Source organism: Homo sapiens, chromosome 15 (assembly GCF_000001405.40).
Source record: "Homo sapiens chromosome 15, GRCh38.p14 Primary Assembly".
NCBI lineage: Eukaryota > Metazoa > Chordata > Mammalia > Primates > Hominidae > Homo > Homo sapiens.
In genome coordinates, this window is record NC_000015.10 from 55,453,358 (window position 1) to 55,467,631 (window position 14,274).

A 14,274-nucleotide genomic window follows, 5' to 3' on the forward strand; every position below is an offset into this window, starting at 1 on the left:
ATGAGGAACAATCAGCAGACACAACAAATAAGACGACTGGCTCCCCAAGACTTTGAAATAGCACAACAATCTGAAAGAGATTGATCATTTTAAACATACTTACTTAAAGCCAGTAAAGACAGGCTAACATCAATAATGAAAACTAAGAAGCTAGTGACAAAGAACAGAGAGGTGTGAAAAAAAAACAGTTCTTTTTTTTTTTTTTTTTTTTGAGACAGCATCTTGCTCTGTCGCCTAGGCTGGAGTGTAGTGGCGCGATCTCGGCTCACTGCAAGCTCTGCCTCCCGGGTTCACGCCATTCTCCTGCCTCAGCCTCCTGAGTAGCTGGGACTACAGGCACCCACCACCACGTCCAGCTAATTTTTTGTACTTTTAGTAGAGACGGGGTTTCACCGGGTTAGCCAGGATGGTCTCCATCTCCTGACCTCGTGATCCACCCACCTCGGCCCCCCAAAGTGCTGGGATTACAGGCATGAGCCACAGCGCCTGGCCAAAAAACAGAACTTTCAAAATGAAAAATATTGTCACTGAAATTAAAAACATCTTGGACAAGTATAACATAAAATTAGTCATGGTTGAAGAAAATTTATAAACTAGAAGATAGATCTGAGGATATTATACAGAAAATAGCTGAGGAAGATAAAGAGAATACAAGAAAGTTGGCCAGGTATGGTGGCTCACGCCTGTAATCCCAGGATTTTGGGAGGCCAAGACAGGTAGATCGCTTGAGGTCAGGAATTCAAGATCAGCGTGGCCAATATGGTGAAACCCCGTGTCTTCTAAAAATACAAAAATTAGCTTGGTGTGGTGGTGCACATCTGTAGTCCCAGCTACTAAGGAGGCTGAGGCAGGGGAATTGCTTGAACCCAGGAGGTGGAGGTTGCAGTGAGCTGAGATCGTGCCACTGCACTCCAGCATGGACAACAGAGCAAGACTCTGTCTCAAAAAAAAAGAAAAACATCTGTGTAATTTGAAAATATATATTGAAAACAAGAGAATACAATAATGTAATATTTGTTTGTTTTTGTTTTTGTTTTTGAGACAGAGTCTCACTCTGTTACCCAGGCTAGAGTGCAGTGGCACGATCTTGGCTCACTGCAGCCTCTGCCTCCCGGGTTCAAGCAATTCCCATGCCTCAGTATCCCAAGTAGCTGGGATTACAGCTATGTGCCACCACAGCCAGCTAATTTTTGTATTTTTAGTAGAGATGGGGTTTCACCATGTTAGCCAGGCAAGTCTCGAACTCCTGGTCTCAAGTAATTCGCCCAACTCAGCCTCCCAAAGTGCTGAGATTACAGGCATGAGCCAAGAAGGTAAATTACCAGCCAAGAAGGTAATATTTGAAGACAATAGTTTTGAAATTCCCAGAATTGATGAATGACAAAGTTCTCTGAGTGACAGTATGCTCCAAGTTATGATATTATGAGATAAATAAATATAAAATTGAACTTATACTAATGAACCCATAATATACCAAGGGAAAGAATTTTAAAACAACCAGAAACAAAGGATAGATTACTTTATTAAGCATCAAGCTAGATCCATTATACTTCATCCTGGGTGACAGGGTGAGATCCTGTCTCAAAAAAAAGAACAATATTAGAAATTAATAAATTATATAATTATAGATAAAGTACAGATAAGTAAATAAAAACTTTATGAAAATGAATTTGAATAGATAAAATGCACAATTTAGAAGACAAACTACCAAAATTGACTTTGGAAAATTTCAATAATCAATAACTATTATAGAAACTGAATCTTTTTTTTTTTTTAAAAAAACCTCCATAAAAAAACTCCAGACCTAGACAGTTTTAGGGGAAGTTTTACTAAGCCTTAAAACAACAGGTATTTCTCTTATCTAACTATATTGTTTCAAATAGTAGAAAAAGAAAAACGCTCTATAGTATATAGGTCTGGTACAATTTGGTATACAATCTAGACAAGAACAGTATGAGGAAAGAAAAATATAACTGAACCTCAATATGAAGATAAATGTGACAACTGCTTATAAAATATTAGCAAATTGAATATATATATATATATATATATATATTCAATCTAAATGACTTTTTTTTGTTTTTGTTGTTTTGAGACAGGGTCTCACTCTGTCACCCACACTGGAATGCAGTGGCGCGATCTTGGCTCACTGCAGCCTCTTCCTCCTGGGTTCAAGTGATTCTCCTGCCTCAGCCTCCTGAGTAACTGGGACTACAGGCGCATGCCACCACACCTGGCTAATTTTTGCATTTTTAGTAGAGACAGGGTTTCGCCATGTTGCCCAGGGTGGTCTGGAACTCCTAACCTCAGGTGATCTGCCCACCTCGGCCTCCCAAAGTACTGGGATTATAGGCGTTAGCCACCATGCCCAGGCTCTAAATGACTTTTCAATATGCCAAGCCTCACTGTTAAAGTTGTAAAGACATATGACCTGGTGGAAATAGCACAGGTTTCAGATGCAGACCAGATCTGGGTTCAAATCCCACAAGTTTACTTATTCATAGTTATTTTTTTTTTCTGAACATCTATTTCCTCTAAAATAAGAATAGCAGCACTTAGACTGAAGTGTTGTGAAGACTGAGTGACCCAAGCAATAAAATCCCCTGGCACATAGTAGTCACCTAATAAATGTTAATTATTATTATTATATATGTGATTTTACACTAAAATGTTAAATTTATAGGAATTCAATAATGACTTATGTAAGGAAAATACTAAATATTTCTTTTTTTTTTTTTTGAGATGGAGTTTCACTCTTGTTGCCCAGGCTGGAGTGCAATGGCAAGATCTCGCTTCACTGCAACCTCCACCTCCCTGGGTTCAAGCGATTCTCCTGCCTCAGTGCCTCCCGAGTAGCTGGGATTACAGGCACCCACCACCACGTCCGGCTAGTTTTGTATTTTTAGTAGAGACAGGGTTTCTCCATGTTGGTCAGGCTAGTCTTGAACACCCGACTTCAGGTGATCTGCCCGCCTCAGCCTCTCAAAGTTCTGGGATTACAGGCGTGAGCCACTGCATCCGGCGGAAAATGCATCCAAAACAAAGTTTAATATTCTAAAATTAGATAAAACCAAACTCGTAGCTTTCAGTATAGAATTATATTCATTGGGAGATAGGAGGGAAAATGGCAGATCGGAGACAGGATTAACATGCAGCTGCCACCTGGATGGACAGAACAGCATCTGGAGACTCACAATGCGAACTTTTACTCCAAGAATCACTTCAGGAACACCGCAAGAAACACTGTAGGAAAACTGAAAGAATTCACAGACCCTTTGAAAGAAGTGGTTCGCTGCTGCAAATGCCATGAAACAGCTGAAAAACCGTGAGTTCCCAAAGTGTGAGGGAAGAAAAGGTCAGTCTCTGAACATACATCCCCACTGGGGAACCTGAAAATCCAGATCACAGGGGAAGGATTTAACTTTACCCTGAGCTGAAATAGATTTAGGTAGCTGAGCAAAATATGAAAGTAGAAGAAGCAGCAGGAAGAGCCCTATAGGTACTTCCATCCCCAGCTGGAGTCCAAGGAAGCCATTCCTGGCGTGATCTCACAGAGGTCCTTGGAGACGGGAAGGCAGCCAGTGGAATTGGGGCAGGACCACAGGGTGAAGGAAGCTTGTAGCTGAACTTTGTAATAATTTTGACTGAGCAGGAATTTTCCTAAGCAGAAATTGGTGGCAGAGGGGGCAAATGGGAAGTACAGATGCGAGTGCAGAAGCCACAGCCAATAGTGTGGGCAGGCAGGGACTGGTGAGGCCTAACAGCCCTCTTGCTTTCTCAGTGGCAAGGCTTATAGTCTGGGGCAAGATCTCAGCCCTGCTCACCAACTGCCTGGATATAAACGCAGTGCGGTTGGGGTGGCATGGCCAGAGTGAGACTGGCCTTGGTGGCTGCCTGGGAGCTAGGTGAGGCCTGTCACTGCCAGCTTTCCCCCACCTCCCTGGTGACCTGTATAGCACAGCAGAGGCAGCCATAATGCCCCTGGGAACATAATTCCATTGGCCTGAGAATCCCCTCCACCCCCACTGTGGCCACAGCAAGCCCCACCCAAGGGGAGCCTGAGCCCAGACCCAACTAACCTTGCCCCCACCTGATGGGGCAAGGTTTTCTCTACCTGCTCTATGGCCCTGCCCATCACCTGAGAAACCCGAGTACTTGTCCCGGCCAACATCAAGATTATATCTCTCTTCTATACTGCAGCTGGTGCCCTCTTGAAAGTGCCACCTCCTGGCTGGAGCCCAACGAACTCAAGCCACCATAGCAACTCATAACAGAACAACCCTGCTCCAAAGAAGGAGAAAACAACAGCTAATTCCACTTCCTGCAACACCCTGTCTAGCCAGAGGTCCTGAATCTGTCCACGTGACAACTTCACTGCTTACATAACCAGTACTTGAAGTGCACTAAACAAAATTACAACAAAAGACTCCAACAGAATCCACTTCACTCACCTGCCACCACCAGAACAGGTGCTGGTATCCACGGCTGGGAGACCTGTGGATCACATCACAGGGCTCTTTGCAGACATTCCCCAGCACCAGCCTGGGGCCCAACTGGGTGGCTAGAAATAGAAGGGCAATAACAATCACTGCAGTCTGGCTCTCAGGAAGCCCCATCCCTAGTGGCAGGGGGAGGGCACCACATCAAGGGAACACCCATGGGACAGAAGAATCTGAACAGTAGCCCTTGAGTTCCAGATCTTACCACTGAAACAGTCTACTCAAATGAGAAGGAACCAGAAAAGTAATTCTAGTAATATGACAATACAAGGTTCTGTAACACCCCCAAAAGATCATACTAGCTCTCCAGCAATGGATCCAAACTAAGAAGAAATCTGTGAATTGCCAGATAAATAATTCAGAAGGTTGATTATTAAGCTCCTCAAGAAGGCACTAGAGGAAGGTGAAAATCAACTTAAAGAAATTTTTAAAAAAAGGAGGATATGAATGGAAAAGTCTCCAGAGAAATAGATATTATAAAGAAAAAATAATCAAAACTTCTGGAAATGAAAGACACACTTAAAGAAATGCAAAATACACTGGAAAGTTTCAACAATAGATTTGAACAAGTAGAAGAAATAACTTCAGAGATCAAAGACAAGGCTTTCAAACGAACCCAATCCAACAAAGACAAAGAAAAAAAGAATTTTAAAAAATGAACAAAGCCTCCAAGAAATCTGAGATTATGTAAACAAGCAAACATAAGAATAATTGGTGCTCCTGAGGAAGAAGGGAAATCTAAAAGTTTGGAAAACATACTTGAGGGAATAATCAAGAAAAACTTCCATGGTCTTGCTAGAGATCTAGACATCCAAATACAAGAAGCTCAAAGAACACCCGGGGAATTCATTGCAAAAAGATCATTGCCTAGGCACATAGTCATCACATTGTCTAAAGTAAAGATGAAAGAAAGAATCTTAAGAGCTGTGAGGCAAGGTCAGGCACAGTGGCCCACATCTGTAATCTCAGCACTTTGGGAGGCCAAGGCGGGTGGATCACGAGGTCAGGAGTTCGAGACCAGCCTGGCCAACCAAGATGGTGAAACACCATCTCTACTAAAAATACAAAAATCAGCCAGGCGTGGTGGCAGGTGCCTGTAATCCCAGCTACTCAGGAGGCTGAGGCAGGAGAATTGCTTGAACCCGGGAGTTGGAGGTTGCAGTGAGCCGAGATCACGCTACTGCACTCTAGCCTGGGTGACAGAGCAAGACTCTGTCTCAAAAAAAAAAAAAAAAAGAGCTGTGAGGCAAAAGCACCAGGTAATCTATAAAGGAGAACCTATCAGATTAACAGCAGATTTCTTAGCAGAAGCCCTGCAAGCCAGAAGGGATGGGGGTCCTATCTTTAGCCTCCTTAAACAAAATAATTATCCGCTAAGAGTTTTGTATCCAGTGAAACTAAGCTTCATAACCAGAGGCGAGATAAAGTCTTTTTCAAACAAACAAATGCTGAATTTGTCACTACCATGCCAGCACTACAATAAATGCTAAAAGGAGTTCTAAATATTGAAACAAAACCTCAAAATATACCAAAATAGAACCTCCTTAAAACATAAATCTCATAGGATCTATAAAACAATAACACAATGAAAAAAAATAAGGTACAGCAACAACTAGCATGATGAATAGAACAGTACCTCACATCTCAATACTGATATTGAATGTAAATGGCCTAAATGCTCCACTTAAAAGATACAGAATGTCAAATGGATAAAAATCAACCAACCAAGTAAGTCTTTTAACAGACTTGCCTAACATATAAGGACTCATAAACAGGGTGGAAAAAGATATTCCATGCAAATGAACACCAAAGTCAGCAGGAGTAGCTATTCTTTTTTCTTTCTTTCTTTCTTTCTTTTTTTTTTTGAGACAGAGTCTCCTTCTGTTGCCCAGGCTGGAGTGTAGTGGTGCAATCTTGGCTCACTGCAACCTCTGCCTCCTGGGGTCAAGCGATTCTCCTGCCTTAGCTTTCCAAGTAGCTGGGACTACAGGCACGCGCCACCACGCCTGGCTAATTTTTGTATTTTTAGTAGAGACAGAGTTTCACCATGTTGGCCTGGCTGGTCTCAAACTCCTGACCTCGTAATCTGCCCGCCTCGGCCTCCCAAAGTGCTGGGATTACAGGCGTGAGCCACTGCGCCTAGCCAGGAATAGCTATTCTTATACAAAACAAAGCAGACTTTAAAGCAACAACAGTTAAAAAAGATAAAAAAGGACATTATATAATGATAAAAGAATTAGTCCAACAGGAAAATATCACAATCCTAAATATTTATGCACCTAACACTAGAACTCTCAAATTTATTTATTTATTTATTTACTTATTTATTTATTTTTTTTTTTGAGACAGAGTCTCACTCTGTCGCCCAGGCTGGAGTGCCGTGGTGCAGTCTCGGCTCACTGCAACCTCCACCTCCAGATTCATGCAATTCTCCTGCCTCAGCCTCCTGAGTAGCTGGGATTACAGGTGCGTGCCAGCACGCCCGGCTAATTTTTGTGTTTTTAGTAGAGACGGGGTTTCACCATGTTGGTCAGGCTGGTCTCAAACTCCTGACCACCCGTGATCCACCCGCCTCGGCCTCCCAAAGTGCTGAGATTACAGGCATGAGCCACCGCGCCCGGCCGGAATTCTCAAATTTATAAAACAGTTATTATTAGACCTAAGAAATGAGATAGCACCACAATAATAGTGGAGGACTTCAGTACTCTACTGACAGCACTAGACAGGTAATCAAGACAGAAAGTCAACAAAGAAATAATGGATTTAAACTATATCCTAGAACAAATGGACTTAATAGATATTTACAGAATATTCTACCCAACAACTGCAGAATATGCATTCTTTTCATCAGCACATGGAACATTCATTCCAAGATAAACCAAATGATAGAACACAAAACAAGTCTCAATAATTTTTTTTTTTTTTTGAGACAGAGCCTCGCTTTGTCACCCAGGCTGGAGTGCAGTGGCGTGATCTCGACTCACCGCAACCTCCACCTCTTGGGCTCAAGTGATTCTTCTGCCTCAGCCTCCCAAGCAGCTGGGATTACAGGCCCCCGCCACCACACCAGCCTAATTTTTGTATTTTTAGTAAAGACAAGGTTTCACCATGTTGGCCAGGCTGGTCTCAAACTCCTGACCTCAGGTGATCCACCTTCCCTGGCCTCCCAAAGTGCTAGGATTACAGGCATGAGCCACTGCGCCCAGCCATCTCAATAATTTTTTTTTTTTGAGACAGAGTCTTGCACTGTTGCCCAGGCTGGAGTGCAGTGGTGCAGTCTCGGCTCACTGCAAACTCCGCCTCCTGGGTTCATGCCATTCTCCTGCCTCAGCCTCCCGAGTAGCTGGGACTACAGGTGCCCCCCACCACGCCTGGCTAATTTTTTGTACTTTTAGTAGAGATGGGGTTTCACCGTGTTAGCCACCAGATTCTGGTCTCTGGTTAGAGACCAGAATGGTCTCGATCTCCTGACCTCGTGATCCACCCACCTAGGCCTCCCAAAGTACTGAGATTACAGGTGTGAGCCACCACGCCCAGCCCATCTCAGTAAATTTAAGAAAATCAAAATTATATCAAATACTCTCTAAGACCACAGTGGAATAAAACTGGATATTGACTTCAAAAGGAACACTCAAAACTATACAAATATATGGAAATTACGTAACCTGCCCCTGAATGATCTTTGGGTCAACAATGAAATCAAGACGGAAATTTTAAAATTCTTTGAACTGAACGATAATAGTGACACAACCAGTCAAAACCTCTGGGATACAGCAAAAGCAGTGCTAAGAGGAAAGTTCATAGCACTAAACGCCTACATCAAAAAGTCTGAAAGAGCATAAACAGACAATCTAGGCTCACACATCAAGAAACTAGAGAAAAAAGAACACATCAAACCCAAACCCAGCACAAGAAAAGAAATAACAAAGATCAGAGCAGAACTAAATGAAACTGAAAGAAAAAAATACAAAAGAAAAATTAAACAAAATGCTGGTTCTTTGAAAAGACAAACAAAACTGATAGACCATTAGTAAGATTAACCCAGAAAAGAATAAGATCCAAATAAGCTCGATTAGAAATGAAATGAGAGAAATTACAACAAATACCACAGGGATACAAAAGATCATTCAAAGCTACTATGAATACCTTTGTGCACACAAACTAGAAAACCTACAGGAGATGGATAAATTCCTCAACCTAGAAGGAATTAAACAATCCTCCCAGATTAAGCCAGGAAGAAATAGAAACTCTGAAAAGACCAATAGCAGGTAGGGAGATTGAAACAGTAATTTAAAAATGGCCAACTAAAAAAAGTCCAGGACCAGATGGATTCACAGCTGGTTTTTTTTTTTTAAGACAGGGTCTTGTTCTCTTGCCCCCAGGCTGGAATGCAGTGGTGAGATCTCGGCTCATTGCAACCTCCATCTCCGGGTTTAAGCGATTCTCCTGCCTCAGCTTCCCGAGTAGATGGGATTACAGGCACATGCCACCACACCCTGCTAATTTTTGTATTTTTAGTTAGATGAGGTTTCACCACGTTGGGCAGGCTGGTCTTGAACTCCTGACCTCAGGAGATTGCCTGCCTTGGCCTCTCAAAGGCTGGGATTACAGGTATGAGCCATGTGCCCAGCCCAACAGCTGAATTCTAACAGACATTCTAAGAGAACTGGTACCAATCCTATTAAAACTATTTCAAAAGATAAGGAGGAAATCCTCCCTAAATCATTCTACAACGCCAGTACTACCCTAATACCAAAACCAGGAAAGGACATAACAAAAAAAAAAAAAAGAAAACTACAGAACAATATCCCTGATGAACACAGATGTAACACTCCTCAACCAAATACTAGCTAACCAAATGCAACAGCATATCAAAAAGGTAATACACCATAATTAAGTGGGTTTCATACCAGGGATGCAGGGCTGGTTTAACATACACACACAAAAAATCAATAAATATAATACACCACATAAACAGAAGTCAAAACAAAAATCATACAATCATCTCAATAAATGCAGAAAAAGCATTTGAGGCCGAGTGTGGTGGCTCATGCCTGTAATCCCAGCACTTCGGGAAGCCGAGGCAGACGGATCATTTGAGGTCAGGAGTTTTGAGGCCAGCCTGGCCAACATGGCGAAACCCTGTCTCTACTAAAAAATACAAAAAGTTAGCTAGGTGTGGTGGTGCACACCTGTAATCCCAGATACTGGGGAGGTTGAGGCAGGAGAACTGCTTGAATTTGGGAGGCAGAGGTTGCAGTGAGCCAAGATCATGCCACTGCACTCCAGCCTAAGGAACACAGTGAGACTCTGTCTCACACACACACACACACACACACACACACACACACACACAAAGCATTTGACAAAATCCAGCATCCCTTTATGACTAAAACCCTCAGCAAAATGGGCACAGAAGGGACATACCTTAAGGTAATAAAAGCCATCTTTGACAAACCCATGGCCAATATTATAATAAACAGTGAAAAGTTGAAAGTGTTTCCCCTGAGAACTGGAACAAGACAAGGATGTCCACTTTCACCAACACTATTTAACAGAGTACTGGAAGTCCTAGCCAGAGCGATCAGACAAGAGAAAGAAAGAAAGAGCATCTAAATCAGTAAGGAGGAAGTCAAGTTGTCATTGTTGGCCAATGATATGATCGTATACCTAGAAAATCCTAAAGATTCATCCAAAAAGCTCCTAGATCTGATATATGAATTCAAGTAAAGTTTCAGAATACAAAATCAATGCACACAAATCAGTAGCACTACTATACACCAACAAGGACCAGGCTGAGAATCACATCAAGAACTCAACCTCTTTTACAACAGCTGCAAAAAAACCCAAAAAACAAAACAAAAAACCAAAATACTTAGGAATATACCTAACTAAAGAGGTGAAAGATCTCACAAGGAAAACTACAAAACACTGCTGAAAGAAATCATAGATGACACAAACAAATGGAAATACATCCCATGCTCACAGATGGGTAGAATCAGTATTTTGAAAATGACCATACTGCCAAAAGCAATCTACAAATTCAGTGCAATTCCCATCAAAATATCATCATCATTCTTCACAGAACTAGAAAAAACAATCCTAAAATTCATATAGAACAAAAAAAGAGCCCATATAGCCAAAGCAAGACTAAGCAAAAAGAACAAATCTGAGGGGATCATATTACCTGACTTCAAACTATACTACAAGGCCACAGTTACCAAAACAGTATAGTACTGGTATAAAAACAGGCACATAGGCCAATGGAACAGAATAGAGAACCCAGACATAAAGTCAAATACAGCCAACCAATCTTTGACAAAGCAAACAAAACCATAAAGTGGGGAAAGGACAACCTATTCAACAAATGGTGCTGGGATAATTGGCAAACCACATGTAGGGGTATGAAACTGGATCCTCATCTCTCCCCTAACACAAAAATTAACTCAAGATGGATCAAAGACTTAAGTCTAAGACCTGAAATCATAAAAATTCTAGAAGATAACACTGGAAAACCCCTTCTAACACTGGCTTAGGCAAAGACTTGATGGCCAAGAATCCAAAAGCAAATGAAACAAAAACAAAGATAAATAGATGGGACTTAATTAAACTAAAAAGCTTCTGCACAGCAAAAGAAATAATCAGCACAGTAAACAGACAACCCACAGAATGGAAGAAAATCTTCACAAACTATGCATCTGACGAAGGACTAATATCCACAATGTACAGGGAACTCAAACAAATCAGCAAGAACAAAACAAACAATCCCATCAAAAAGTGGGCTAAGGACATGAATAGACAATTCTCAAAAGAAGATATACAAATGTCCCGCCAGGTGTGGTGGCTCATGCCTGTAATCCCATCACTTTTCGAGGCTGAGGCAGGCGGATCACCTGAGGTCAAGAGTTCGAGACCAGCCTGACCAACATGGAGAAACCCCATCTCTAAATTAGCCAGGCATGGTGGTACATGCCTGTAATCCTAGCTACTCGGGAGGCTGAAGCAGGAGAATCGCTTGAACCTGGGAGGCAGAGGTTGTGGTGAGCCGAGATCGTGCCATTGCACTCCAGCCTGGGCAACAAGAGCGAAATTCCATCTCAAAATAAATAAACAAACAAACAAATGTCCAACAAACATGAAAAAATGCTCAACACCGCTAATTATTAGGGAAATGCAAATCAAAACCACAATGCGATACCACCTTACTCCTGTTAAGAATGACCATAATTTAAAAATGAAAAAATAACAGATGTTGGTGTAGATGTGGTGAAAAGGGACACTTTTACACTGCTGGTGGGAATGTAAACTAGTACAACTACTATGGAAGACAGTGTGGAGATAGATGCCTTAAAGAACGAAAAGTAGAACCGCCATTTGATCCAGCAATCCCCCTACTGGGTATCTATCTAGAGAAAAAGAAGTCATTAGACACTTGCACACTCATGTTTATAGCAGCACAATTGCAATTGCAAAAATATAGAACTAGCCTAAATGCCTATCAACTAATGAGAAGATAAAGAAAATATGGTGTATATATACACACACACACACACACACACACACACAGACACACATACAATCATGGAATGCTACTCAGCCATAAAAAGGAATAAAATAATGGCATTCTCGGCAACCTGGATGGAGTTGGAGACGATTATGCTACATGAAGTAACTCAGAAATGGAAAACCAAATACCATATGTTCTCACTTTTTTTTTTTTTTTTTTTGAGACAGAGTTTTGCTCTTGTTGCCCAGGCTGGAATGCAATGGCACGATCTCGGTTCACCATAACCTCCGCCTCCCAGGTTCAAGCGATTCTCCTGCCTCGGCCTCCTGAGTAGCTGGGATTACAGATATGTGCCACCACACCTGGTTAATTTTGTAATTTTAGTAAAGATGGGGTTTCTCCATATTGGTCAGACTGGTCTCGAACTCCCAACCTCAGATGATCTGCCCGCCTTGTCCTCCCAAAGTGTTAGGATTACAGGCATGAGCCACTGCTCCTGGCCCATGTTCTCACTCATAAATGGGAGCTGAGCTATGAGGATGCCAAGGCATAAGAATGATATGGGCCTGGGGACTAGGGGGGAAGGGTGCAGGGGTGAGGGATAAAAGACTACACATTGGGTGCAGTGTACACTGCTTGGTTGATGGGTCCACCAAAATCTCAGAAATCACCACTAAAGAACTTATACATGTAACCAAACACCACCTGTTTCCCCAAAACTACTGAAATAATAATTTTAAAAACACACACATACAAAAACTGAATTATATTTGTATCAGCTGGACATGGTGGCTCATGCACACAATCTCAGCACTTTGGGAGGCCAAGGCAGGCAGATTGCTTGAGCTCACGAGTTCAAGACCAGCCTGGGCAACATGGCAAAACCTCGTCTCTACAAAAAATACAAAAAAGCATTAGCTGGACATTGAGGCACATGCCTGTAGTCCCAGCTACTTGGGAGGCTAAGGCAGGATGGCTTGAGCTGGGGAGGCAGAGGCTGCAGTGAGCTCAGATCACACCATTGCACTCCAGCCTGGGCGATAGGGCCAGACCTTGTCTCAAAAAAAAAAATTATATTAATTTATCTGTTTTTGAATACACCAAGATTAAAAGCTAGAAGCAATCTTTATTTGCTGTAGAGTAAGTCTGCTTATAGTACTCATTTTCCTAAGTGATGTGAGGAAAAGGTCTTTTAATGAAATTCCTAGTTTCTTATCTCTAATGGAATAAATGAATGCTTCTGACATTGCTAGTCCACTCCAAGTCTTTTTGGGCCTGAGTTAAGCACTTATTTAACAACATCTTTGTAAATTTCAAAAGAAAGCACACAAGCAAAGAAGACACTCTTCTTTTCGAATCCTTGAACGAATCCTTGCTCATTTTATTAGAAAACTTCATTATCCCCGAAAGAAGAAATGTCTTTACTTTAGTCTTTGTACTGAATTGCTTATTCTCAATGTGCCAAAACAGTAACCTAATGCTGTGAATAGATTTACAAAAAAAGAAAAGCGTCATATATACTTCACCAACAGGACTCACTACTCAAGAAATTCTTAATCATTTTACCTTTTGGAGCAAGATTTCTAGATGCCAAATTTCTAGTAAGACTCTTATATTTTATTTTTTTTCTTTCTTCTTTAATTTGCTTTTCTTTTTGACATAATTTCTCTTCTCTCTGAATTTTTTTTTGCTCCTCAGCTTTTCTTTGATATTCTTTCCAGGCTTCCAATGCTTTAGTGGCTTTTATCCGTTCATTTTCTTTCATATCTTCTATTTTTTTCCTCTCTTCTTCTTCAATCTATAACAATTGCAATTACCAAATTCTTTAAAATACATAAAAGCAACATTTATTTAAATGAGAAATTCATTACAATAATTAGTTATTCATACCTCTAAACTCTTGCCATTGTATTTGTAACAATAGGTAGTAGTGAATTATGAATTAAAATGGGAAAGGTAAATGATTCAGGAGAAAAACCATTGGTGTTGGAGTCATGGAACAAAGATTTTAGTCCCAGATCTACCATTAGCTGTATGGTCTTAGGCAATCACTTTCTCCAACCTCAGTTTACTTATATGTAAAATGTGGGCAGGCATTCAATTAGATGATACCTAAGGGCTTGGTAGAAAAAATAATAGAAATTTATTATTCTAGGAGTTAAGCCACTTCTCTCAAAATCTACACACACACACACACACACACACATCCCAACACATATATTCAAACATTTGCTTTTCAACTTATCCCAAGTCTTACCCTGTCAACCG

At 41.2% G+C, this 14,274-nt stretch overlaps 1 protein-coding gene and 1 long non-coding RNA gene across 4 annotated transcripts in view; both read right to left on the bottom strand.

Moving 5' to 3' along the window:
• Positions 1-14,274, bottom strand: part of DNAAF4-CCPG1 (DNAAF4-CCPG1 readthrough (NMD candidate)) — a 143,362-nt gene that overhangs the window by 98,135 nt on the left and 30,953 nt on the right. Inside the window, exon 4 of the long non-coding RNA NR_037923.1 lies at positions 13,573-13,804. This is a non-coding gene — a long non-coding RNA (DNAAF4-CCPG1 readthrough (NMD candidate)). The remainder of the gene's footprint in view (positions 1-13,572; positions 13,805-14,274) is intronic.
• The window catches only part of DNAAF4 (dynein axonemal assembly factor 4), a 90,480-nt gene that overhangs the window by 35,603 nt on the left and 40,603 nt on the right, over positions 1-14,274 (bottom strand). For all 3 annotated transcript variants that reach the window (NM_001033560.2, NM_001033559.3, NM_130810.4), the window contains exon 5: positions 13,573-13,804. In NM_001033560.2, the coding sequence (NP_001028732.1) occupies positions 13,573-13,804 (232 nt within the window). The remainder of the gene's footprint in view (positions 1-13,572; positions 13,805-14,274) is intronic.